At 52.7% G+C, this 26,819-nt stretch overlaps 1 protein-coding gene and 1 long non-coding RNA gene across 14 annotated transcripts in view, besides 6 other annotated features; one reads left to right on the top strand and one right to left on the bottom strand.

Moving 5' to 3' along the window:
* CHKA (choline kinase alpha) overlaps positions 1-786 on the bottom strand; it is a 68,530-nt gene extending 67,744 nt beyond the window's left edge. For 10 of the 13 annotated variants that reach the window (NR_164782.1, XR_007062448.1, NM_001376222.1 and 7 more), the window contains exon 1: positions 226-786. Coding sequence is in view for 7 of the 13 variants with exons in the window: in NM_212469.2 (NP_997634.1) it covers positions 226-575 (350 nt within the window). In the remaining 6 variants the exon portion in view is untranslated. Of the gene's footprint in view, positions 1-187 lie in introns of all 13 variants that reach the window. The other 3 variants (XM_047426317.1, XM_047426318.1, XM_047426323.1) reach the window with 3 other exon arrangements.
* Positions 61-190: a silencer, noted in NCBI's record as "silent region_3658". NCBI's record gives its function as "represses an Ori minimal core promoter by ATAC-STARR-seq in GM12878 lymphoblastoid cells {active_cell/tissue: GM12878}" and the evidence as "EXISTENCE:reporter gene assay evidence [ECO:0000049][PMID:35858748]".
* Positions 759-1,524: an enhancer, noted in NCBI's record as "NANOG-H3K27ac-H3K4me1 hESC enhancer chr11:67888828-67889593 (GRCh37/hg19 assembly coordinates)". NCBI's record gives its function as "activates a minimal SCP1, AML or CMV promoter by ChIP-STARR-seq in naive H9 embryonic stem cells {active_cell/tissue: H9 hESC(naive)}" and the evidence as "EXISTENCE:reporter gene assay evidence [ECO:0000049][PMID:30033119]".
* Positions 761-1,190: a silencer, noted in NCBI's record as "silent region_3659". NCBI's record gives its function as "represses an Ori minimal core promoter by ATAC-STARR-seq in GM12878 lymphoblastoid cells {active_cell/tissue: GM12878}" and the evidence as "EXISTENCE:reporter gene assay evidence [ECO:0000049][PMID:35858748]".
* CHKA-DT (CHKA divergent transcript) lies at positions 1,286-9,913 on the top strand. The gene is made up of 4 exons (NR_183630.1): positions 1,286-1,601; positions 8,479-8,586; positions 8,839-9,480; positions 9,577-9,913. It is a non-coding gene; the product is annotated as a CHKA divergent transcript (long non-coding RNA).
* Positions 1,525-2,291: an enhancer, noted in NCBI's record as "NANOG-H3K27ac-H3K4me1 hESC enhancer chr11:67889594-67890360 (GRCh37/hg19 assembly coordinates)". NCBI's record gives its function as "activates a minimal SCP1, AML or CMV promoter by ChIP-STARR-seq in naive and primed H9 embryonic stem cells {active_cell/tissue: H9 hESC(naive and primed)}" and the evidence as "EXISTENCE:reporter gene assay evidence [ECO:0000049][PMID:30033119]".
* Positions 1,541-1,640: a silencer, noted in NCBI's record as "silent region_3660". NCBI's record gives its function as "represses an Ori minimal core promoter by ATAC-STARR-seq in GM12878 lymphoblastoid cells {active_cell/tissue: GM12878}" and the evidence as "EXISTENCE:reporter gene assay evidence [ECO:0000049][PMID:35858748]".
* Positions 19,510-19,710: a silencer, noted in NCBI's record as "fragment chr11:67907579-67907779 (GRCh37/hg19 assembly coordinates)". NCBI's record gives its function as "represses an EF-1alpha promoter that drives an FKBP-Casp9 reporter gene in an ReSE screen in K562 erythroleukemia cells {active_cell/tissue: K562}" and the evidence as "EXISTENCE:reporter gene assay evidence [ECO:0000049][PMID:32094911]".

Below are 26,819 nucleotides of genomic sequence, written 5' to 3' on the forward strand. Positions count from 1 at the left end.
TTTGTGGACGGCCTGCGGCGGCCGCGAACCCGCTTCCCTTGGATTACCCAGGGCTGGGAGAAGGAGGGCTTTCGCCGGCTGCGGTCCCCGGTCCCCGGCCTCCGCCCCGGCCCCGGCTCCCCCGGCCCCCGACCCCCCCGGCCCACGCCCCCTGCCCGGACCCCGCCCCGGCCCCGCCCCGCGTCACCTGACTGTCCCGCGGCCCCCAGACCCGGCGCCACCGACCTGATGACACTGATGTGGAACTCGTCCTCGCGGAGGCCCCGCCAGGCGCCGGGCAGGAACTCCTTGCACCACAGATAGGCCCTGCGCCGCGTCCGGGGCTCCGGCTGCTCGTCTGCGGGCGGCTGCGGCGGCGGGGGCTGGGGCAGCGGCAGCGGCAGCGGCAGCGGCGGCGGAGGGGGCAGCGCGAGCGGCGGCTGTTGGCCGCCCAGCTGCTTGGACTCGAGGTCGCTGGCGGCGTCGCGCTGCTGCCCCACGCCGGGCGCCGGGGCCGCGCTGCCGCTACCGCAGCTCAGCAGCAGCCCGAGCGGCGAGGGCTCCGCCTCGCCCCCGGTGCAGAATTTGGTTTTCATGCCCGACAGGCGGCCGAGGAGGCGCGGGCGGCCGCAGCGCGAGAGGACTAGGCTCAGAGTCCGGCCGGGCGCCCCCTCGCCGCTCTCTCACTGGCAGGCCGGCGGGGCAGGGGGCCGCGGCGGTTGGGCGCGCGGGGCGGCGGCGGCGGCTGCGGCGACTGCGGCGACTGTGGAGCGGGGATGTGCTGCTGGCCGCTGCACTCGCTCCTCTGCCGCCGCCGCACGAGGAGCGCCGGCCGCGTCACAGCCCGCCCTCGCGCTCGCCACTGATTGGCCGCCGTCCGCCGGCCCGGCGCATCATAACCGCCGCCGCCCTCGCCACACCGCCTCCCCATTGGCTGCGGCGCCGCCCCCAACCCAGAGCGCTGCGGCCTCCGTGAGCGGGGCCTGGGCGAAGGGGGCGGGGCGTCGAGGGGGCGCCCCGGCGGTCGCAGGGAAGGGGGAGAGGGGAGCGAGGCGCGGGGGGCGCCGGGAGAGCGCCTCCGCGGTGGGACGGAGCCGGACTGGGCCGAGCGAGGGAGGCTCCTGAGCCTCGGAGGACCCCGGGGTTGGCTTTGGGAGCTGAAAGTTTCCTTGGACCCCTCGGAAGCCCCGTGACATCAGAGGCCGGGCCTGGCAGGGGCAGGCAGGAAACGTGTCTGGAGGCTACTGCCCTCTCCGCGTGACCTTGGGCGAGCAGCCTCCTCCTGGGGCTCAGTGGGTGTGATTTTGTAACATTTCCCAGCGCTGCCACAGGCGCGTCTCGCCCTGTCCAACGCGGAGCCCGAAGAATTACTAAGAAACCGAGGTCTGAAGGAGGGAAGAGGTGACGGGCTCGAGGCCACACGGTGGGCCAGGCTGGGCCCGGCTGCACGCCGGCTACCGGGGCCCAGCCCTCTGCACGCCTCCCGCAGCCTCAGTTTCCCTGTCCGTGGTACTGAGGATGCTCGGGCCTAGAAGTTCAGGGCTGGAGGCCCAGGGACCGTCGAGGGAGGGGCATCATCCCCGCCATGGGGCCGCCGCAACTGCCCAGAGCACAGGCCAAAGGTGCGTGCCACGGGGCTACTGGCGTTGTGGACGCTGCCCCTGCCTCCCCATCCCCCGCAGGAAACAGCCTTGTGACCGTGACTAACGCACCTTTGCCGGGGTAGAGGGGCAAGGGCCCCTGCTACCGTTTGCCACACACTGCCCCATGTCCCTCACTGCTCCCGTCCTTCCTAGAAGTGAGGTGCTGATACATATAAAAATTATGGATCCCATTTTATGGGACATGAGCTGAAACAGGAGGTTTCCTGGGCTGCCAGGGGCTTAGGAAATCCAGTGCCTGATACACAGGAAATGCTTCTATGTGGGGAGTTCACAGTCTTCCAGAAGCAAAAATGTTTTTTGGTTTTTTTTTTGAGACGGAGTCTTGCTCAGTCGCCCAGGCTGGAGTGCAGTGGCACGATCTCGGCTCACTGCAACCTCCGCCTCCCGGGTTCACGCCATTCTGCTGCCTCAGCCTCCCGAGTAGCTAGGACTACAGACGCCCGCCACGACGCCTGGCTAATTTTTTTTTTTTTTTTTTTTTTTTTTTTGTATTTTTAGTAGAGACGGGGTTTCATCGTGTTAGCCAGGATGGTCTCGATCTCCTGACCTCGTGATCCGCCCGCCTCGGCCTCCCAAAGTGCTGGGATTACAGGAGTGAGCCACCGCGCCCGGCCGCAAAAATCTTTTAGAGTGTGTACTTGGCTGAACTTGCTCCACGCAAAATGGTCTTATTTAAGGATAAAAATGAAAGGGGACTTTTGTAAGGCTGCTGTGGCGACAGGCCTGGAAGTTGACCTGCAGGGAGGTAGGAGAGACCAAGGCCCCTGGGACGGAGGCCGGCCACTGGATGTTTGAAAGGCTGAGAAGCCAAGGGCTTCAATCTGGGGAGGCCGTTTGGATAAAGGAGCCAAGGACTTTCTCTAAAAATACCGGCTCACAGGGAGGTGGGGCCATGCCAATGGCCTGCCCAGGTGACAAGCCCTTTGTCCCACTGTCCCCTGGCACCAGTCTGGTAATCTCAAAGGAATGCCAGAAATCTGGCCAGGAGGAAGGGACACTAAAGTAAGGAGTGGCCCTCTATAATTTGAAATAACTCTTTCTGGCATCTGCTGGCTTTTGTTAGGAAAAGCCTCAGACATTTTTATGGGATCACAGTTCCCTGTGGGAGGAAGAGGTTGCCTCAAGGCCAGGCATGGTGGCTTATGGCTGTAATCCCAGCACTTTGGGAGGCCAAGGCAGGAGGATCACTTGAGCCAGGAGTTTGAGACCAGCCTGGCCAACATAACAAGACTCTGTCTCGCCGGGCGAGGTGGCTCATGCCTGTAACCCCAGCACTTTGGGAGGCCGAGGTGGGCGGATCACAAGGTCAGGAGTTCGAGACCATTCCGGCTAACACGGTGAAACCCCATCTCTACTAAAAATACAAAAAAAATTAGCCGGGCGTAGGTGGTGCATGCCTGTAGTCCCAGCTACTCGGGAGGCTGAGGCAGGAGAATGGCATAAAACCCAGGAAGCGGAGGTTGCAGTGAGCCGAGATCGCGCCACTGCACTACAGACTGGGAGACAGAGCGAGACTCCGTCTCAAAAAAAAAAAAAGACTGTCTCAAAAATTAAAAATGAAAAAAAAAATTAACAGAGCATTGTGTCTTACACTTGTCCGACTACTTGGGAGGCTCAGCCAGGAGCATCACTTGAGCCTGGGAGGTCAAGGCACCCACTGCACTCCAGCCTGAGTGACAGAGTGAGACCGTATTTGCTGAATGAATGAATCAGTGAGCTCCTGGCTCAGCAATTATTAACTTATGACTTTGGGCTGAGCCTCGGTTTCCTCAACTATAAAATGGGGATTATAATACCCCGAGCATCCAGGATTGAGAGAATGTATGCAAAATGCATAGCATGCAAGAAGTAACCGTTTGGTTGCGTGCAGTGCATTGCATGGCGTTGCCTCTGCCAGTGGTTGGTTTTCGGAGATGAATAATGCATGCACTTGTAGCATTTCACAGCTTGGGAAGACAGTGTCGTATAAGAAAAGAATTTGGGCCGGGTGTAGTAGCTTATGCCTGTAATCCCAGCACTGTGGGAGGCCAAGGTGGGAGGTTTGCTTGAGGCCAGGAGTTCAAGATGAGCCTGGGCAACAAGTGAGACCCTGTCTCTACAAAAAATAAAATAATTGGCCAGGCACAGTGACATGTGCCTGTAATCTCAGTTACTTAGAAGCCGGAGGTGGGAGGATCCCTTGAACCCAGGAGTTCAAGGCTGCAGTGAGCCATGATCACGCCACTGCTCTCCAGCCTGGGCAACAGAGGCTAGGAAAATAAAAATACATTTTAAACAAAAATAATTCAAACACTCTGATAACCAAAATGTCAATGTCTGTGCACAAGTAGACGAGTTTGAGAGAAACTTGCTATGGCAGGTAATTGGAGGTTGTTCCAATTACCAAACCTTTTCCTCTAGGATAAGATAAAAAAATTATCCAAAAGCTCTGTGATTGATGCTGAATTCTGAGAGCAGACTCAGAGGGTGGGTGATGGGCCTTAGGAGGGATAGAGGAAAGATTGGGAAGTTCCCGTCCACTCTGAATTTCCTGCTGATGGGTTCCTCGGGGTCCACCCACGGGCCTCAGCCCTGCCACCAACTCCAAGGCCTGTTCTGAGAAAGGGCTTTGTGAGTCTGACTCCCCCCAAGATGGGGGAACCCACTGTCAAGCACCTGGTAGGAGCAGGCTTTGAGCCCTTTCAAAGATGCTGCATACAGCAAGTTCCCTAAGCAGCAGTGAGGTGAGTGTCATTAGCACTTCATCTCCCAGGTGGCAAGGGAGCTTCCCAGGGGATAAAACCATTCGTTAAAGGCCAGCAGGACCTGGGACTCCACCCAGGACCCCATCCAGGGGAGCCTTGTCCTTCTGTCCTTCTGCACCATAAGCACCTTTGGCCCAGGAAGCACTAGACATTTGGCACAGTGGGGGTTCCCTCACGGGCTGGAGAAGCAGAGCCCTGGCAAGGCTGTGCTCACACCTCCTCCCAGGTCACACCCAGGACCAAGCACCCCTGCTCCAGTTCTGAGCCTTAAAATATTGATGAGAGCACAGAGGCCACCTGGCTGCAATCCTCCATGTTGAAGATTGGGTTGCAGTGCCAGCTAGCAGAGTGACATGGAGCTGGGCTTTCCCTGAGTGCTGAGCGTGGCCCCAGCCCAGCTCTGTCAGCGAAAGGCTGTGTAGGTCCAGCAGCTTTCTGGAGGTCTCTGAGCACAAGTGTGGTCTGACTTGGACTGACCCTTCTACCATACATTTGGCTCAGCACCCGCAGCCAGAGTCTAGGGCCCACAGGGCTCAGAGGAAGCAGGTGACTAGAATATCCATCTGTCTGGTGGGTGGGGCAGGCATTCCTCCTGTCCTCATTTGCAGGGATTTTGAGTATAATATTATGGGTAAAAATTCTGGCCAGGTGCAGTGGCTCACGCCTGTAATCCCAACACTTTGAGAGGCCAAGGTGGATCACCTGGGTCAGGAGTTCGAGACCAGCCTGGCCAACACGGTGAAACCCCGTCTCTACTAAAAATACAAAAATTAGCCAGGCATGGTGGCACATGTCTATAGTTCCAGCTACTCGGGAGGCTGAGGAAGGAGAATCACTTGAACCTAGGAGGTGGAGGTTGCAGTGAGCCGAGATCATGCCACTGCACTCCAGTCTGGGCAATAAAAGCAAGACTCCATAACGCGCGCGCGCACACACACACACACACACACACACACACACACACACACAATCTTTAGAGGTCATGCTGCCACCCACTGTGTGACCTTGGACAGAACATCTACCTTTCTAAGCCACTTTCCTCATCCCCAAATGGAGTCCTACTCTACAGGGCTGTTGGGGAGATTCACCGAAACCAGCAAGGAAAGAGCTGGGTGTAGAGCCAAAGCCCCACAAAGGGTATCTATGCTTTTCAGCTTATTGTTAGCTGGATTCCCAGAGCCTGGCAGAGAGCAGCAAATACCCATTCATCCTAAGTGCCAGTGGAAGCGCAAAGCCTGCAGGAGCTCTGGCAGGTCTAACAGGGCCTGGAGAGTTTTCCATTCTTTGAAGCTCCTGGCACATTCAAAAATTAAGAAAAATCTAGGCGGGACACGGTGGCTCACGCCTGTAATCCCAGCACTTTGGGAGGCTGAGGTGGGCAGATCACCTGAGGTCAGGAGCAAGACTCCATCTCTAAAAAAAAAAAAAGAAACATCTCGACAGGGTTACCAAAACTGGGGCATGTTTGAAATACTTAAATTGAACAAATCAGTGCTTTTAACACACATGCAAAAGTCCCATTCAAGATAATTTTGCAATTCTCAAGGTAATAGAGGGATTACTTTAAAATAATAATGGAGCCAACCAAGCATAGTGACACCTGCCTGTGGTCCAAGCTACTGGGGAAGCTGAGGCAGGAGGATCACTTGAGCCCAGGGGATTGAGGCTGTAGAGACATGATTGAGCCACTGACTCCAGCCTGGGTGACAGAGTGAGATACTGTCAATAATAATAATAATAATGGTTTGTAGAGCACCTTAAGTGGTATGGTGTGACAAACATCTTTCAGGCCTGACAACAGATCTCTGTACTAATCTGATTATCCTTATTCAGATGTATCTAAATCTGAGGCCCTTGGGGCACATGATTGCCTCCTGGGGCTGCCATAGTAGACCCTGGCAATGACCTAGTGACCGTTCCTCTACTGGAGATGATCCCCTGGGCCCCTCAGAATGCATTTCCTGTGTCCACATAGCCGGTGTTTTAAGTCAGGTGATCTTTTTTTTTTTTTTTTTTTTTTTGAGACGAGGCCTCTCTCGTTGCCCAGGCTGGAATGCAGTGGTGCAATCTCGGCTCACTGAAACTTCTTCCTCATGGGTTCAAGTGACTGGCCTGCCTCAGTCTCCCAAGTAGCTGGGATTACAGGTGTGCACCACAACGCCCGGCTAATTTTGGTATTTTTAGTAGAGATGGGGTTTTGCCATGTTGGCCAGGCTAGTCTCGATATCTGCCCACCTCAGCTTCCCAAAGTGCTGGAATTACAGGCATGAGCCACCGTCGCCAGTCTTAAGTCAGGCAATCTAAGCTCCCTTTCCAAGTTTGTTGAAAACCTGATTTGAGGTTTTGTGCTTTAAGCTTGCATTACATTTGTAACACAATAAATGCAATTTTTGGCACAATAAATGCAAAATTGTGGCGCAGTGACTCATACGTGTAATCCTAGCACTTTGGGAGGCCGAGGCAGGTGGATCACCTGAGGTCAGGAGTTCAAGACAAGCCTGGCCAACAGGGCGAAACCCTGTCTCTACTAAAAATACAAAAATTAGCTGGGCATCGTGGCAGGTGTCTATAATCCCAGCTATTTAACAGGCTGAGGCAGGAGAATCACTTGAACCTGGAGGGCAGAGGTTGCAGTGAGCCAAGATTGCGCCACTTTACTCCAGCCTGGGCAAAAGAGCCAAACTCTGTCTCCAAAAAACAAACAAACAAAATAGAAAATAAATACAATTTTTAAAAAGACCCCAGTCATCATGCAGGTTACACTGTGGGGATAACACTTCTGGGCTAGGAGTTGGGCAACCTGGGTTCAGGCACCGCACCCCCTCTGCCGGCTGCACAGGGCCCCTCTCCCCTCAGTCAGCCCTGGGCCCTGCAGGCTGGACTTTTGCCTGGTAGCTTTGGGCTGGCCCTCCCTTCTGCAGGGGACCCCTTGTACAGATGGGTAAGCAGAGGCACAGGGGCACAGGCAGGACAGCGGCTCTGCTCACGCAGGATGCCATGGCCAGTCGTGGGCCTACTCCATCCTTGATCCTCCCCTCCCAAGGGCACTTGCCATCCAGGCCTGAATGGCAAGAGGCCCCTAAGGGGCCCCCAGTCCTGTCGGCACCCCCTTTGAGTGACTGACAGGGAGGCAGGGGAGCTGGCAGCCCCCATCCCCACACCAGCTTGTGGAAGCTACCAGCGATCGGTGGGGCCCCACTGGCAGCCCGTCCGTGTAGCCTTGGCCGGGCCCCCAAGCTTCTTAGAATGCCATCTAAGAAGGCAGAGGGGGATGAGCGGCGGCGGGGAGGAGGGGCAGGCCTTGGGAAGATCCACTGGGTCACAGGGAAGCGAAGGCGGACCCTCCTCCCCCAGCGCTACTGCCCGGGCCGAATTCCAAGGCCAGCGGCTGCCCGCTGAGAAGGAATCCGGACCAACGGGATTCTGGCTTCCCTCTGGCCCCTCCTGGCGAGAGCGGCGCCGGGAGGAGGGGGCCTCAGAAGGGGCGGGCAGGGGCGGGGCCCGCGGGGTAGGCGGAGCTCCCAGGAAAACAGCGGGCGGGGCCTCGCGCGAGGGGCGGGGTTGGCGGCGAGGCGTCCCAGGACCCCCATTCCTCCCTCCGCCCCGGGGCTTCTGGGGAGCGGCGCAGCTTGACTGCCACCGACTGCGGGCCTCCCTGCCCTACAAGCCCCCACCCCCGCCCCCCCTTGGGACCTGGCGAGGAGTTGCCCCGCAAAGTTGGGGCTGGTGCGGGGTTAAGGGGATTACAATTTTCCTAGGACTTAGTGTGCTGAAGCTGCTTTTGCGATTAGAATTTATATTTACAATGCTGATAACAATAAACTACCCAGGCTACCGCGCCACGTGGACGGGGGTGGTGGATGGAAAGGGAAACCCTTGGCCACCAGCAGCCTGTGATAAGGCCAAGGTTCCCTGGCTGGATTGCTGCCTAGGATGCCTGTGGTCCCTACCCCCGCCCGGGAGGCAGGATTGACTAATCCGACCAAGCAAGGCCTCCAGGCTGGGCCAAGAACCCCTTCCCAGTCCTCTCCCAAAGTCTATGTCCTTGGGCTCACGCTGTCCTCTCCTGTCCTTGCCTCCTGCATCTACAGACCCCTGAGGCCCCCTCCTCCTTCAGAGCATGCACGTCGCAAATTCTCAATGACTGTTTGGAGGAATGAATAAATGAATTGTGAACAAATGGTCTGAAGATTCCAGAGGTAGCCTAATGGGGCCCTGCTGCTTGAGTTCTAATCCCAGCCCCACCAGTTGTTGGCTATTTGGCCCTGGGCAGGTGATTATTCTCTCTTTGCCTCTGTACCTTGCCCGTAAAATGAGGAGAATACCAGTACCTACTGCATAAGGTTGTTAAAGGATTAAATGAGTGAATAGTTACAAAGAGCCTGGAACAGAGTGTTCAAAGAAACACACAGCCACAGTATTAAAAAAATTAAAAACCCATTTCTCTCCAGGCTTCTGCCATCACTCTGTGTGACTTCAACATTCTACCTGCATGACCTATGCAGCACCTGGCCGCTGTTACCTTGCCACCCTCACTGACATCTTCTCTGCATAGGCCTTCCACCATGCCCTGTACTTTCTCCCCACTAGAAATAGCCCTGGCTCTGAAATGTGTTTTAATCATCCCACTTTGGGTCCACCAGTTCCTAGCCTTTGAGCTTAGGCCTCTCCTCCAGGACCCTCCCTGGCTACGATTTCCCAACCCCTCTCGACCTTCCATTCACTGACCTTGCCACTTTCTTGCCTCTTGTCTGCACCTCTCCCCATCCCTAGTGTGGATTCCATCCCCTTGTGAACGCTGCCACCCGTCCTGGCAGAGACTCAGTACTTCCACTCTCTGAATGCATTTCTTCTTCCTAGGCACACCAGAAGACTACATTTCCTAGCCCCCCACCCCCTTGCAGTGTCTGGGACCATGTGACTCCTTAATTAGGTCACTTCTCTCTCCTGGGAGGCCCTCTCTGCCCTCTCTAAGTCTAACTAGTGGCAAAGGATCTAAGGGAAGAAACCTGGCAGAGTTACTAGTCCCAAGAAGCCTGGGTCCCTGAATCACCACATGGAAGTCTACGCGCCCACCACCTGAATGGACTAAGGTATGAACAGAAGTAATACACACCCCTTTAGGGCCAAGGAGGTGAAACAGCTGGTATGCCTTCCTCACACTCTCCTCTGCTTTCCTGGTGACCTAGGAAGCTGCAGGATGAAGACAACAGCATCACAAGGAGGAAGCCAGGATCCCTGTGTTACCACAAGGAGGAGAGATGCCTAACCAAGACCGTCTGCAAGGATTTTGTGTGAGCCAGAAGCAGAGCTGTATGGTGTTCAGCCACTGAGATTTGAGGGCTGTTTGTTACAGCAGTTGACCTATCCTGACTGACACATCACATCATTCCTTTCCCCACCATGTGTCTAACATGCTACCAAATTGAATTTTAAGTAAATTAGTACTTATAAATTAAGTACAAATGCTTTTCAAATTCACATGAATCTTTGGTAAATAAAACTGGTTGTAAAATTATTGATAAATATAGAAATGTCTGAAATTATTGATAAAATAGCCTTGTGCAAGTAAGACTAATTTAAGATCATTGGTTCAATGAAAATAACTGAATCTTCTGAGTTGTCGGCAAAATGCTCATGTGTTTAAGATTCTTAGATAGGTGTTCACTTAATATTCAGACTTTAAAAATGATTAACCAGGATATAACTTTGACCAGCCTAGTATCATAGTTTTTATAAGTAATCCTGGGCCGGGCACGATGGCTCATGCCTGTAATCCCAGAACTTTGGAAGGCCAAGGTGGGTGGCTCATGAGGTCAGGAGATGGAGACCATCCTGGCCAACATGGTGAAACTCCATCTCTACTAAAAAAACAAAAAATTAGCCAGGCGTGGTGGCACGTGCCTGTAGTCCCAGCTACTCGGGAGGCTGAGGCAGGGGAATCACTTGAACCTCGGAGGTGGAGGTTACATTGAGCCGAGATCTTGCCACTGCACTCCAGCCTGGGTGACAGAGTGAGACTCCATCTCAAAAAAAAAAAAAAAAAAAAAGAATTGTGGAATCCTGCTGGGCATGGTGACTCATGCCTGTAATCCCACACTTTGGGAGGCCAACGCAGGTGGATCACTTGAGATCAGGAATTTGAGACCAGCCTGGCCAACATGGTAAAACCTCATCTCTACCCAAAGCACACAAAAAATTAGCCAGGCATGGTGGCAGACACCTGTAATCCCAGCTACTCGGGAGGCTGAGGCATGAGAATTGCTTGAACCTGGGAGGTGGAAGTTGCAGTGAGCCAAGTTTGCACCACTGCACTCCAGCCTGGGCAACACAGCGAGACTCCATGTCAAAAACAACAAACAAACGAACAAAAAGAATTGTGGAATGCTGCTCATCCATAAAATGCTAATATCTAATGGGCATTTCAGGATTTCTTGCTTTCTAGATTTATATAAAATGTGCCAAAGATGTGTTCTTATTGAGAAAAAGAAGAATTTTGTCTAATTCAGAAGTTATCTGCCCAGACGCAGTGGCTCATGCCTGTAAACCCAGCACTTTGGGAGGCCAAGTTGGGTGGATTACTTCAGGTCAGGAGTTCAAGACCAGCCTGGCCAACATGGTGAAACACATCTCTACTAAAAATACCAAAAAAAAAAAGTTATCTAAAAGTCAATTCAAATTATGGAGTTAAAAGTGGTTCTTGGCCAGACGCAGTGGCTCACACCTGTAATCCCAGCACTTTGGGAGGCCAAGGCAGGTGGATCACCTGAGGTCAGGAGTTTGAGACCAGCCTGAGCAACATGGTGAAACCCCATCTCTACTAAAAATACAAAAATTAGCTGGGTGTGGTGGTGGGCGCCTGTAATTCCAGCTACTCAGGAGGCTGAGGCAGGAGAATCTCTTGAACTGGGGAGGCAGAGGTTGCAGTGAGCTGAGATCATGCCATTGCACTCCAGCCTGGGCGACAAGAGTGAAACTCCATCTCAAAAAAAAAAAAAAAAAAAGGTCCTTAAACAAGGTTGAAAGAAACCATTAAGTAGGGGAGAGAGAGATGTGAAAAAAATTATGGATACAAAGATGTATTTTTGGCAAAGAAGCTTATAAAGAAAAGACAATACCTTTATATGAGAAAGGATCTTGTATGGAAAATTATTGTCCTAGAGTAGAATGACTGGTTATTTAAGAAAGAGGAAGGCCAGATGTGGTGGCTCACACCTGTAATCCCAAAACTTTGGGAGGCTGAGGCAGGGGGATCATTTGAGCTCAGGAGTTTGAGACCAGCCTGGGGAACATGGTGAAACACTGTCTCCCCAAAAATATAAAACTTAGCTGGGCATGGCAGCATGTGCCTGTAGTCCCAGGTACTCGGGAGGCTAAGGTGGGAAGATTGCTTAAGCCGAGGAGATTCAGGCTGCAGTGAGCCAAGATTGTGCCACTGCATTTCATCCTGAGCAACAGAACAAGACCCTGTCTTTAAAAAAGGAAAGAAAGAAGGAAGGAAAGAAGGAAGGAAGGAAGGAGAGAGAGGGAGAGAGAGAGGAAGGAAGGAAGGAAGGAGGGAGGGAGGGAGGGATGGAGGGAGGGAGGGAGAGAGAGAGAAGGAAGGAAGGAAAGGAAGGAAGGAAGACAGAGAGAAGCTGGGTGTGGTGGCTCATGCCTGTAATCCCAGCACTTTGGGAGGCTGAGGCGGGTGGATCACCTGAGGTCGGGAGTTCGAGACCAGCCTGACCAACATGGAGAAACCCCGTCTCTACTAAAAATTCAAAATTAGCTGGGCATGGTGGCACAGACCTGTAATCCCAGCTACTAGAGAGGCTGAGGCAGGAGAATTGCTTGAACCTGGGAGGCGGAGGTTGTGGTGAGCTGAGATCACACCATTGCACTCCATCCTGGGCAACAAGAGCAAAACTCCATCTCAAAAAAAAAAAAAGAAAGAGAAAATGAAGAAAGAGAGAAATAGTCTAGGACAAGTCAGAAAGTCCAAGCAGGACATAGATGGTTTGTGTAAGTTGTGATAAGATTTGTAAAGGGGAGGCCGGGCGCGGTGGCTCAGGCCTGTAATCCCAGCACTTTGGGAGGCCGAGGCGGGCGGATCACGAGGTCAGGAGATGGAGACCATCCCGGCTAAAACGGTGAAACCCTGTCTCTACTAAAAATACAAAAAATTAGCCGGGCGTAGTGGCGGGCGCCTGTAGTCCCAGCTACTTGGGAGGCTGAGGCAGGAGAATGGCGTGAACCCGGGAGGCGGAGCTTGCAGTGAGCCGAGATCCCGCCACTGCACTCCAGCCTGGGCGACAGAGCGAGACTCCGTCTCAAAAAAAAAAAAAAAAAAAAAAAGATTTGTAAAGGGGAATTTACAAAAACAGGAATTTTGTTTGTGATTAAGTTAGCTGCGATTAAAAGGAGATTATTTCTCCTTTCTAAGGAATGGTCCCCTATGTTAAAAGAAGGTCTGCTTAAGGTATTGATTTGCTCTTAATGAAATTATAAGAAATTTTGCTTTTCAATTTTTTGTTTGTTAGTTTTGAGATGGAGTCTCGCTCTGTCGCCCAGACTGGAGTGCGGTGGCGTGATCTCAGCTCACCGCAAGCTCCACCTCCCAGGGTCACTCCAGCCTGGGCAACAGAGCGAGACTCTGTCTAAAAAAAAAAAAAAAAAGGGATGAATGAGTGCCTGTCCACCTCCATTTCATCTGGCCTAGCATATTTAACTGTCTACACGTCTTTTGATTCTAAGTCTCTTGGCCACAGCGGTCCCACTTAGGGACATAATATAGCCAGGGCAGGTAGCACACCACCCTGGCATCGATATGGGGCACAATAAAAGCTTGGCCATGATACTGCCTCTGGCATACCATGACCAGAAAAAAAAAAAAAAAAAAAAAAAAAAACACATGCACCTGAAAATCTAGTTGAGGCCATGACAGGAAGTGGGTAGGGGGAGGGAGAGTCAGCCAGGCCTCACTATATTTCCTCGCCTTGGAATTCCACACATATTTTCCCTGATGGTACCACCAATTATAATTCTTCTTGTCCCCCTTGGAGGGCCTTAGTCCCTCTACAAACAACAGTGTCTTTCTCAATTCCCATAACTGCTCCCCATAATACTGGTATCACATTAAATTACTACTTTCCCCCCATCCCATTCATGCTTAAACCAAAGCACCCCTTGAATAACACAGGTACTTAACCTTTTTTTTTTTTTTTGAGACACAGTCTTGCTCTGTCTCCCAGGCTGGAGTACAGTGGCGTGATCCTCAGCCTCCCAAGTAGCTGGGATTACAGGCATGTGCCACCACACCTGGCTAATTTTGTATTTTTAGTAGAGACAGGGTTTTGCCATGTTGGCCAGGCTGGTCTCAAAACTCCTGACCTCCAGTGATCCGCCTGCCTTGGCCTCCCAAAGTGCTGGGATTACAGGCGTGAGCCACTGCGCCCAGCGGTACTTAACCTTAACAGCTCCCATCCCATTCCAGTCTGTGACCCACAGTGGATATCTGTGGCTATATGGATGCCCACTAAATCAATCAGCCTATAAACAACTCATTCCTCATTTGAGACCACGGGTACCAATGTGTTGATAACATTTGGCTCAAAGGTCAACATATAGTAAGACAGGTGAAGCCGGCCGGGCGCGGTGGCTCACGCCTGTAATCCCAGCACTTTGAGAGGCCTAGGCGGGCGGATCACGAGGTCAGGAGATCAAGACCATCCTGGCTAACATGGTGAAACCCTGTCTCTACTAAAAATACAAAAATAGAGTCGGGCGTGGTGGCAGGCGCCTGTAGTCCCAGCTACTCGGGAGGTTGAGACAGGAGAATGGCGTGAACCCAGGAGGCGGAGCTTGCAGTGAGCCGAGATCGTGCCACTGCACTCCAGCCTGGGCGACACAGCAAGACTCTGTCTCAAAACAAAAACAAAAACAAAAACAAAACAAAACAAAAAAAAGACAGGCGAAGCCTTCTAATATACAATTATACAACATCACTTGCCCAAGCACTAAGTGAGCAATTGGCCTTCTGTTGTCTGGGGTCAGGGCTGCTGTGGGCTTGTTGGCCCCATGGGGAGGATTTGCCTAACATGAGGCAACTCTTCAAAACTTTACTTTTCACTCTACATACCTTCTTATAAAATGGGAGATACTTTAGATAAATTGAGACTCTCTCGATTCTATAGCAGATATAGTTATGGATAATAGATTGGCATTAGACTATTTGTTGGCTGAACAATGACAGGTATATGCTGTGATTAATAAAACCTGCTGTACCTATGTAAACAACTCAGGTCAAGTAGAGGAAGATACCGACAAAATATATGAACAAGGCTGGGCACAGTGGCTCACGTCCAGTGCTTTTGGAGGCCAAGGAGGGTGAATCACTTGAGGTCAGGAGTTGGAGACCAGCCTGGCCAACATGGTGAAACCCCATCTCTAGGAAAAATACAAAAATTAGCCAGGCATGGAGGCACATGTCTGTAATCCCAGCTACTCCGGAGGCTGAGGGAGGAGAATTGTGTGAACCTGGGAGGCAGAGGCTGCAGTAGGCCAAGATTATGCCACTGCATTCCAGCCTGGGAGACAGAGTGGGACCCTGTCTCCAAAAAAAAAAAGAAAAAGAAAAAAAAAAAAGGGCCAGGCATGTTGGCTCACGCCTGTAATCCCAGCACTTTGGGAGGCTGAGGCGGGTGGATCACAAGGTCAAGAGATCGAAATCATCCTGGCCAACATGGTGAAACCCTGCCTCTACTAAAAATACAAAAATTAGCTGGGTGTGGTGGTGCACACCTGTAGTCTCAGCTACTCAGGAGGCTGAGGCAGGAGAATCGCTTGAAGCCAGGAGGTAGAGGTTGCAGTGAGCCAAGATTGCGCCATTGTACTCCAGCCTGGCAACAGAGCAAGACTGCGTCTCAAAAAAAAAAAAAAAAAAAAAAAAAAAAAAGAACAAGCCAAGTGGCTACATGGTGTTCACAACCCCAATACCCAGACTACTATGCGGAATTCCATAAGGGGTTTCTACCGGCAGTGACTTGGTTTTTACCTAGGACCTTTAATAGCTCTCTTGTTACTATTGATCTTTGTTTGGCCTTTACTTATTTAACCTCTTAGTAAAGTTCGTGTCTTCTAGATTATAACAATTCCATGTGGAAATGATGCTTGCACTAGGTTTCTGACCCATCCTGTCTTCTAGCCTGGAAAATAAAGATCTCCTGCCTTTGGGGTCCTTAGATCAGGCAACCAGAGATTTTCACTCCTCCAACACCAGGCAGAGCCTATGCCCATAAGATCAGCAGGAAGCAGTTGTAGAGGGTGGACCTCTGCCCTTCTACCACTTTTTAAGATTAAGGAGGAGTCTGACGCCTGTCATCCCAGCACTTTGGGAGGCCGAAGCAGGCGGATCACCTGAGGTCAGGAGTTGGAGAGTAGCCTGGCCAACATGGTGAAGCCCCGTCTCTACTCAAAGTACAAAAAATTATCCATGCAGTAGTGGCGTGCGCCTTTAATCCCAGCTACTCAGGAGGCTGAGGCAGAGGTTGCAGTGAGCCAACATGGTGCCACTGCACTCCAGCCTGGGTGAGAGAGCAAGACTCTGTCCAAAAAAAAAAAAAAAAGGTCTGGTGCGATGGCTCACGCCTGTAATCCCAGCACTTTGGGAGGCCGAGACGGGTGGATCACGAGGTCAGGAGATACAGACCATCCTGGCTAACACGGTAAAACCCCATCTCTACTAAAAATACAAAAAAAATTAGCCAGGCATGGTGGTGGGCGCCTGTAGTCCCAGCTACTTGGGAGGCTGAGGCAGGACAAAGGCATGAACCTGGGAGGCGGAGCTTGCAGTGAGCTGAGATCACGCCACTGCACTCCAGCCTGGGCGACAGAGCGAGACTCGGGCTCAAAACAAAACAAAACAAAACAAAGATTGAAGAGGACTCTACAGTCTCTCCGGGAAGGAATAAGGTTAGAGATCAGCAGGACTTGTTTTCTGAGCACCAGTCACAAGACCTTGCTGAACAAAACATGATCTGATCAAAAGAGGATGCAGGAAAGACATTGGCCAAAACTAGCTAAAACCAACACGGTGACCAAAGCAACCTCTAGATGCCCTCATTGTTCATTGTGCACTAATTATAATGCCTTCGCATGCTGAAAGACACTCCCGCCAGCACCGTGACAGTTTACAAATACTGTGGCCACTCCCAGAAGCTACCTTATACAGTTTAAAAAGGGTAGAGGCCCAGTGTGGTGTTTCACGCCTGTAATCCCAGCACTTTGGGAGGCGGGTGGATCACGAGGTCAGGAGATCGAGACCATCCTGGCTAACGTGGTGAAACCCCGTCTCTACGAAAAATACAAAAATTAGCCGGGCGTGGTGGCAGGCACCTGTAGTCCCAGTTACTTAGGAGGCTGAGGCAGGAGAATCGCTTGAACCCGGGAGGCGGAGGTTTCCGTGAGCCGAGATGGCGCCACTGCACTCCAGCCTGGGAGACAGAGCAAGACTCTGTCTCAAATTAAAAAAAAAAAAAAAAAAGCCAGGCTGGCTCACGCCTGTAATCCCAGCACTTTGGGAGGCCGAGGTGGGACAGATCACCTGAGGTCACCCTGACCAACATGGTGAAACTCCGTCTCTACTAAAATACAAAATTAGCCAGGCTTGGTGGCTCATCGCCTGTGATCCCAGCTACTCGGGAGGCTGAGGCAGGAGAATCACTTGAACCCGGGAGGCGGAGGTTTCCATGAGCCAAGATCATGCCACTGTACTCCAGCCTGGGCAACAAGAGCGAAACTCCATCTCAAAAGAAAGAAAGAAAGAATGAATGAATGAATAAATAAATAAAATAAAAATTAAAAAAAGGTAGAAACCCTTGCTTCCAGAAACTCCCCACTCCTTTTGCAGAAAACTCGTGAATAGCCTGTCCTTTATTTAGCATATAATGAAGGAATAGACATAAATATAGCTGGCCAGCAATCCACGAGGGCTGCCGCTACTGCTCTACGGAGCAGCCATTTTCCTGCACTGTTGCTCTAATAAACTTGTGTTTGCTTTGCTCTGTCTTGTTTGCTCACCCTTGAATTCTTTTCTCTGCAAAGCCAAGAGCTCTCCCAGTCTGAGCCCCAATCATCAAAGATGATTTTGAGGGCTTCAGTATTTAAAGGGGAAAAGCAGGCTGGAGGGGAAGGAGGGAGGGGATGGTCACATTATTAAATCCGTATGTTGGAAGAGAAAAGGAGCAGGGAGGGGAATAGTGACATATTCATCTAGTGCTTCTACATCGGCATTTTACACAAGATAAGGTGAATGCAGAGTGTAGATATTTAACCTTTTATCCGTGGCTCTCTGCTTAGGAACAAAAGGAGAAGCAGCTTCTTGCCTGACTCAGCTTTCAGCTTAATTTTTTTCTTTTGGCAGAGTGAATTGGGATTCCAAGATTTTATTTGCCTTTCCCATCATGCGATTGGATACCACAAAGCAGTGAAGAACAGTGAGTGCCCATGTACTTGACAATGAAGGGGAATCTTCCAGACATACATGAAGCGAAGGAAGGCAGGCAAAAGAGTGTGCTTGTGTGATACTGCCTATTTGGGGCTCTAGAAGAGGCAAAACTAATCTATGGGAGTTTGAGGATAATGTTCAGGATAATGGTTTACTTTTGGCAAGTGTTGTCTGAGAAGAGGCACTTGGGAGCCTTCTGGGGGCTGGAAATGTTCTGTATCTTGAGCTAGGTGGTGGGTACACAGGCATATGGCTTGTCAAAAATAATTGAGTTAGCCGGGCACAGTAGCTCATGCCTGTAATCCTAGCATTTTGGGAGGCCAAGGTGGGTGGATCACCTGAGGTCAGGAGTTTAAGACCAGCCTGGCCAACATGGTGAAACCCCTGTCTCTACTAAAAAAAATACATAAGATTAGCTGAGCATGGTGGTGGGCACCCGTAATCCCAGCTACTCGGGAGTCTGAGGCAGGAGAATCGCTTGAACACGGGAGGCAGAGTTTGCAGAGAGCCAAGATCACGCAACTGCACTCTAGCCTGGAGGACAGAGCAAGATTCCATCTTAAAAAAAAAAAAAAAGAAGGCCAGGAGTGGTGGCTCACACCTGTAATCCCAGCACTTTGGGAGGCCAAGGTAGGTGGATCACCAGAGGTTGGGAGTTAGAGACCAGCCTGACCAACATGGAGAAACCCTGTCTCTACTAAAAATACAAAATTAGCCGGGCATGGTGGCACATGCCTGTAATCCCAGCTACTCGGGAGGCTGAGGTAGGAGAATCGCTTGAACCCGGGAGGCAGAGTTTGCGGTGAGCCAAGATCGCGCAATTGCACTCCAGCCTGGGTGACGAGCGAAACTCCATCTCAAAAGAAAAAAAAAAAGAAATAAAGACATAAAAGATACTTGGGGCTGGGCACGGTGGCTCATGGCTTTAATTCCAGCACTTTGGGAAGCTGAGGTGGCTAGATCACTTGAGGTCAGGAGTTCAAGACCAGCCTGGCCAGCATGGTGAAACCCTACTAAAAGTATAAAAATTAGCCAGGAATGATGGCAGGCGCTAATCCCAGCTACTCAGGAGGCTGAGGCAGGAGAATCGCTTGAACCTGGGAAGTGAAGGTTGCAGTGAACTATGATTGCGCCACTGCACTCCAGCCTAAGCGACAAGAGCGAAACTCTGTCTCAAAAAAAAAAAAAAAAAAAGTTGAGTCATGTTGTGAATGTATTTAACACCACTGAGCCGTACACTTAAAAATGGTGAAGATGTTAGATTTTATGTTATATCTATTTTACCACCATACAAAAAAATTGAGTTATACCTTAAGGTTTGTGGACTTTATTACATGTCAGTTGCACTTCAACTGAAACATTTAGCACGATCGTTGCCCCTGGCTCCTGAGTAATTTTTTTCATTTTTCAGACATGAGGTCTCGCTCTGTCGCCCAGGCTGGAGTGCAGTGGCACAATCATAGCTCACTGCAGCCTCGAACTCCTGGGCTCAAGTGATATTCCCACATCAGCCTCCCAAGTAGCTGGGATGTCAGGCATAATAAGCTACTGCGCCCGTCCCCCCAAGTCATTGCAAATGTTCTTTGAAAATACCACCTTCAGGCCAGGCGCAGTTGCTCACGCCTTTAATCCCAGCACTTTGGGAGGCCAAGGCAGGCAGATAACTTGAGGTCAGGAGTTCAAGACCAGCCTGGCCAACACGGTGAAATCCTGTCTCTACTAAAAATACAAAAATGGGCTGGGCATGGTGGTGCATGCCTGTAGTCCCAGCTATTCAGGAGGCTGAAGCAGGAGAATTGCTTGAACCCGGGAGGTGGAGGTTGCAGTGAGCCGAGATTGCACCCGCAGCCTGGATGACAAAGCAAGACTCCATCTGAAAAAAAAAAAAAAAAAAGAAAATACCACCTTCAGTGGCCACATATTTTCCCATCCACGGATGTGTCCTGGTACCTTCATTCACTCTCAAATCTTTCCCCAGAATTGTGAGAACCACAGCCCCATGTCACAGCCCCAAGGTTGCAGACAAGGTCCCGACCCACGTTAAGACGCAAAATAATTTATTGGAAGGTTTTTCTTAGACCCCTGGGAAGGCTAGGAAACCTGGCTTGGAAAGAAGGAGGAGCTCAAGGAGGCAGGAAGCTGCCCCACAGCCTGGGTTACCCCAGGAATAGGCTGGTCTAGGGGCCGCTGTAACCACTGCTGACACTGTGGATGTCACCATCAGGGACAGTGCCACTCTGGGACGCTGCAGCCATAGCCACTGGGAAGAGGTCCCAGTGGGCCCGGATTCTTTGTGGAGGAATCTATAGGCCTGAGCTCTAGAGGCTGGGAAATGGAGGGGCAAGTCTCTGGTCCCCATGCTCAACAAGACCCCCTCAGTGGGGAATTCCTCATTGCAGAAGGGGCACCAGATGCAGGGCAGCTAAACAAGCAGCCAGGGATTCCTACCCCGAGAAATGTCCTCTAAGACAATAACAGCCAGTATTTGTTGAGCTCTCACTGGGTGCCAGGCCCCTGTGCCAAACTTCCTACATGGATTATCACAAAGAATACTCACATTAGCCCTGTGGGGTGGGGGTTATTATTATCTTGATTTTGCAGACAAGGAGGCAGGCACAGAGCAATTTGGCAACCTGCCCAGGACCACACGCATGAGGAGCAGGAGGCGGCATTGCATTGGGGGCACCTGTGTGCCAGGTCAGTGCAGGGCACTTTGCAGTCCTCTTAGGGCTGAGGGCCTTGGACACTCAGCACCATTTTCCCTGCTCTGTGGCTGCAGGGGGCTGCAGGGGCTGGAAGCCTGACAGCCACGTTTCCTTGAAGCCCCTGCAGCAGGGTTCTGGGTTACAGCCTGTCAGTCACGGGCATTTGCCTGACACCTGGAAGGCTGTGGGGAGGTGCAGTGGCAGGCAGGGGTGGGCTTTGCCAGATGTGACACTTTGCCAGTGACTTCTGGGGGTCTCCTGGGGCTGACCAGCCCCCCTCCGAGTGGTGCATGCTCCTGCAATTCCTCCAGTCCTAGTTTCTTTTCTTTCTTTTTCTTAAGACAGGGTCTCTTTCTGTCACCCAGGCTGGAGTGCAGTGGTGCAATCATGGCTCATTGCAGCCTTGACCTCCCAGGCTCAAGCAGTCCTCCTGCCCCAGCCTCTTGAGTAGCTGGGACCACAGGCGTGCACCACCATGCCAGGCTACAAATCCTAACTTCTGGACCAGGTGTGGCTGCCCCTCAGCTCTTTGGAAGGTTTTGCAAGCCTCAAATTCCCCGTGTTCAGTCCTTTCCTGCTTGAAATGCCATTTTCCCAACTGAACCTTGATGAGGCAGAGGTGTTAAGGCAAAGCAGCTGGGCCTATAGGCCTGAGCTCTAGAGGCTGGGGAATGGAGGAACAAGGCTCTGGTCCCCGCGCTCAACAAGACCCCCTCAATGGGGAATTCCACATTGCAGAAGGGACACCAGGTGTGGGGCAGCTCAACAAGCAGCCAGGGCCTCCTACCCCAAGAAATGTCCTTCTAGGATAATAGCCAGCATTTGCCAAGCACTCACCGGTGCCAAGCCCCTGTGCCAAGCACTCACCGGGTGCCAGGCCCCAGGAGGCTGAGGCAGGACTGGCTTTAGAACAGGAAAGCTGGGGGTGCGAGCCCGGCTCTGCCAGTTCTGTGGGTTTGTGGTTTTTTGGTCGCTTCATGTGCCTGAGTCTCATTTTCCTGTTTCCTCATTTGGAACAGGCAGTGGTGGCGTCTCTCATGGGGACGTGGAGATAAACCAGGGCGACATCGGGGACACACAAGCCCAGTGCCTGCGGCGATGGCCGATGAGGCGCTCTTTCCATTTCCTGGTAGCAGATGAGGAAAGTGAGGCTCAAAGAGGTGATGTCATTTGCCCCAAATCACACAGTTGGGAGGTGGTGGGGTGCGAATTCAAACCCAGGAGTGTGAAGCTTCCAGCTCGTCTGTTTCTCCCTGGCTGTGGGTCAGTGCCCTGTGGGAGGCCAGGATGCCGGTCAGGGACTGGCATGGCAGGGTGAGGGGAGCAGGGTGGGCCAGCCTGCCTCCCCTCCCTCTCCTGGGGCTGCTGCCCTGTGGAGTAGGGGACTGCCATGGCCCTCACCTGTCCACCTTGTCTCCTTGCCTGGGCCTTGTCAGCCCTGTGCACTCCACAGGGCAGGGACAGGGCCTGCTGTTGACAGAAGTTCAGAACAAGGCAGTGCTTGGCCCTGGGTCCTGCGCAGATCAGTGCTGGGGCTGGCCTGGGGCCCGAGCTCAAGCCTCCGAATCCCCTTGCCCAGGCTGGACTCTTGCTGCACCGGGGCAGGTTGGCAGAGGCCTGGAGGTTTTCTCTGGGCTGCAGGTTGAGGCACCTGGGCTTGCAGACGCACGTCTGGCGGTCCAGCTTCCTCCCTGGCAGCCTCTCTCCTGCGACAGCAATATGGTGGTCTGCAGCTTCAGGCCAGCTCCATTGCTGCCCATGAGGCTACCCCAGTGGAGAGAGGTCACCTTGCCTCAGGGTCCCAGCTGAAGTCCCCAGGCTGCATCTCATTGGCCAGGCTTGGTGATATGTTCATCCCTGACCAGTCGCAGTGCCCGGGGGGTGCGCCCTCTCATAGGCCAGCCATGGAGTAGGCTGGGGTCAGAAAAGGCCTCTCCTCCCTGAGCCACATGAACTGAGAATGGGGAGGTGACCTTTCCAAAGAGGGGGTAATGGACTCTAGGAGTCAGAAGTAGTGAATGACCCGGACGGGGAAACGCAGGCCCCACTGTCGCCAGCCCTGCTGATGGTGGCCATCCTTTCTTCCTCACCTTGGCAGCAGGAGCTGGATGGAGTCTGGGGAGGTGGCAGGTACAGGCTGGAGCTCAGAGTGTGAGAGACAGTTGAGGATGGAATGTTCTCTTGGAGAAGCGAGAATAATGTCTCCTCCCCTTCTCCAAACAGCAAGTGCCCGGCCCAGCCTCTGTCTCAGGAAACTCTCTAACAGCCAAGATCAGGGCCTTATGGAGAGCTGACCCAAGGCCAGGCACTATGTTGGACACATCTGATGAGTCACTTCACTTCAGCCTTGCCAAAGCTTCATGAGCACCCATTTCACAGATGAAGAAACGGAGGCTCAGAAAGACAAACGTTTCAGCCAATAAGTGGCTGAATCTATGCTCAAACCTAGGTCTGTGTGATCCCAGACCCTGAATTCTACAAGTCCACCAAAAACTCCTCTTTATCTTCTTTTATTTTTTATGTATTTATTTATTTTTAGACAGAGTCTCACTCTGTCGCTCAGGCTGGAGTGCAGTGGCGCGATCTCGGCTCCTCTCCGCCCCATGGGTTCAAGTGATTCTCTTGCCTCAGCCTCCCTAGTAGCTGGGACTAAAGACGCACGCCACCACACCCCGCTAATTTTTGTATTTTTAGTAGAGACGGGGTTTCACCATGTTGGCCAGGAGGTCTCACTCTCCTGACCTCGTGATCCACCCACCTCGGCCTCTCAAAGTGTTGGGAATACAGGCGTGAGCCACCGCACCAGCCTATCTTCTTTTAAAAACATCATCAGTCCACCCTGGGTAATATGGCAAAATCCCATCTCTACAGAAAATACAAAAATTACCCAGGCATGGTGGCACATGCCTGTGGTCCCAGCTTCTTGGGAAGCTGAGGTGGGACGATCACCTGAGCCCTGGAGGTTGAGGCTCCAATGAGCCATGGTCATGCCACTGCACCCCAGCCTAGGCAACAGAATGAGACCCTGACTCACGATACATAAATAACTAAAAATAGCCAGGCGGGCTGGGCGCGGTGGCTCATGCCTGTAATCCCAGCACTCTGGGAGGCCGAGGCAGGCAGATCACGAGGTCAGGAGATCGAGACCACCCTGGCTAACACGGTGAAACCCCGTCTCTACTAAAAATACAAAAAAATTAGCCAGGCGTGGTGACGGGCGCCTGTAGTCCCAGCCATTTGGGAGGCTGAGGCAGGAGAATGGCGTGAACCCGGGAGGCAGAGCTTGCAGTGAGCCAAGATTGTACCACTGCACTCCAGCCTGGGCGACAGAGAAAGACTCCGTCTCAAAAAAAAAAAAAATAAAATAAAATAAAATAAAATAAAAACACATAAAACATCATCAGTGTCTTGTTAAAGTAGTGCTGTTCTAGTTGTAAACGAGTTAGTGTGAGGTTGTGGGCCATGTCTGAGGCCTCAGCTCTCAGCCCAGGAAATAAGGCTGTTGTGAGTGAGTAAGGTGGGGGTGAAGGATGTGGGAGGGGGGCTCTACTTCCAAAGTTGCTGAGGCAGTGTTGAAGGCCGCAGGACACTTCCTCACCACTGTGGCCCAACTCTTCTTTCTCCCTCAAAACCCAGCTCGAAGGACACTTCCTCCCAGAAGTCTTCTCTGCTGTGCCTATAACCCTCCCCTGACCCCAGGAAGACACACACACACACACACACACACACACAACTTCTCTGTGTACTCCATCCCCTACGTTGTACTCATCAAAGCCCCAACCATAGTGTGTGTGTGTGGTGTGTATGGTGTGTATGGTGTGTATGGTGTGTGTGTGTGTGTGTGTGTGTGTGTGTGTGTCTGTCTGTCTGTCTCCTCGGTCAGACTGGGACAACCTGAGGGCAAGGAGAGGGAATTCCCTGATGCCCAAGGTGTGCCCCGTGTAGATCATGGTACAGAGTGGAGGCTCAGCAAACAGAGCATAAATGAATGAGTGAGTGAATGAATGCATGGAATCTTGGGGTGAGTTTCCCTGAAGACAGCCCCAGGGTGCTGTGGCTGTAGGAGCTGGACCGTCTAGTGCCTTGGTCTGGGGGTGGCTGAAGCTGGAGGAGGGAAAGAGGCCAGTCCTTTGCAGCTTCTGGAGGCCAGAGTCCAAGGTCAGCTTCTCTCAACAGGACCCCTCTGAACCCGGCTGACACCACGGCCTTTGGAAGCCATGTGGTCAGTAACACGCTGTCACCCTTACTGCAGTCTGTTCACCTGACCTAATGACTGGGAACCTCAGGTCTGTGACTCAATGCCCAGAATGCTGTCTGGTATGGGGGTATGGGTCACACCTGGCTCATCTCCAGGACAGCCCTGTTCTGCGTGTCTGCCAGCCAAGGGGTCACGTGCTAACCTGGCTGCCCCACTGGGGGTGGGAGGGGCAGCTTCAGGATGGGGCCGCATCAGGCCCCATCTCCCTACCAGGCCCGTCAGTGGGCACCCTGAGCCTCTCTCTCTCATTCCTTCTTTTGAGCCTGCAGCACTACTCCCCGACCAAAGCACACTTTCCCTTCTCGTCTGGAGGAGAGATGGGGCCTCGTGCCAGCTCTGCCCCTGCCTGACACACACGCTTGGCCCGTCACTGAGCCTCAGTTTCCCTCTCTGTATTTCTTGGCTGTGCAAAGGCAGTCGGGGGAGGCTGGCCCTTTAAGCTGGATGAGGCTGGTATTTTGTGTTTTTTTTTGAGACGAAGTCTCACTCTGTCACCCAGGCTGGAGTGCAATGGCGCGATCTTGGCTCACTGCAACCTCCGCCTCCTGGGTTCAAGTGATTCTCCTGCCTCAGCCTCCCAAGTAGCTGGGATTACAGGTGCCCACCACCACACTCAGCAAATTTTTTGTATTTTTAGTAGAGACGGGGTTTTGCCATGTTGGGCAGGCTGGTCTTGAACTCCTGACCTCAGGTGATCCGCCCGCCTTGGGAGGCTGGGTTTTTGAGCTTTGTGCTGTTGGGGCCCAGCCCTCAGGGCCGCGTGGGAACCCCCGGGGCGGGGTGTTCTATACCAGGAAGTAGGCAGAGGGCCAGCCCGAGGACAGTTCGTTTCTTGCCAGTCCCCTGACCTCTCTTGGCACACAGCCTGTGGCAGCAGCAGGTTGAAGCCAGACGCTGCTCAGACCTCACACCACGTCGTTTGCCCAACCCAGAGAAAGCTCTGTCCCCGGCTTCTGGCTCCTTCTCTGCCAGGACTCACTGGGTGTGATGAGTTGGTCTTGGGGCACTGTCTGGGCACAGCCTGTTTGCCCAACATGGCCTCCTGGGCTCCATGCTTCCGCAGGTGGGAGGGGTCTGGACTGGCCCAGGGGCTCTGACAGCGGCTGGCAACCTGAGGTTTTGACTTCAGGGTGACCTGAATCCTGCCGCATTATGGAGGCTGGAGTCTCTGGGGGCTGCTTTCCCAGAGAAGAAGCTCCTTCCCCATCAGCCTGACATTGGCTCCAAGGACTCCATGTGGCTGGAGGGCTCAGGGCTAAGGGGAGGGAAGCCCCGGGATGGCAGTGAGGGGTGAGGGAAGATTTGGGAGGTGACATCTACAAAGAGACCTGAGCGGGTGGGGCAAAGAGGGGGTCCCAGGCAGAGGGAGAAGCAAGTGCAAAGACCTTCATAACCCAGGGGAGCGCTGAGACCACCGACCAGCAGCACCCCCACTTCTTCAAGCCACCACTCCTCAGGGCCTCCCAGGGGTCCCCAGCCTGGAGCACCCCATGTGGTAGAGCTGGTAGGCTGGGGGACACTGGGGACTGCTGTCCCACTTGGAGCCTCGGGCTACTCCGCCCAGGAGCAGCGATGTGGAACCTTGTTGGATTTTCATGTTCCCAAACATCCAGGAGACACACAGTTGTGAGTTTCCAGCCAGGCGATCTCTAAGGCCAGAGCAGCCCTTGTGGGTGTCAGTGAGGAAGGGCAGAAAGACTCTGGCCTCAAGCTCAGCTCCCTGCTGCAGGGAGTTGAACGCCCCTTTGGTGAGTGGCTCTAGCTAAACAAACACGTGTTATCATCTGTCAATAGCGGCCACCTCCTTGCTGGCTGGGCTGCTGCTGGCTCAAAGCCCAGAGCAGCCCTTCCGGGGCACTGCCTGCCACAGCCAACAGTCAGGGAAGGGCAGCTACTGCCCTGGGTTCAAGCCCGGGCTACCCCTGCTCCTGCTCACTGTGTGTCCCCAAGCAAGTCACTGTCCCTGCCTCTCTGTACAGTGGG

This window comes from Homo sapiens, chromosome 11 (genome assembly GCF_000001405.40).
Source record: "Homo sapiens chromosome 11, GRCh38.p14 Primary Assembly".
In the NCBI taxonomy this organism is placed as follows: domain Eukaryota; kingdom Metazoa; phylum Chordata; class Mammalia; order Primates; family Hominidae; genus Homo; species Homo sapiens.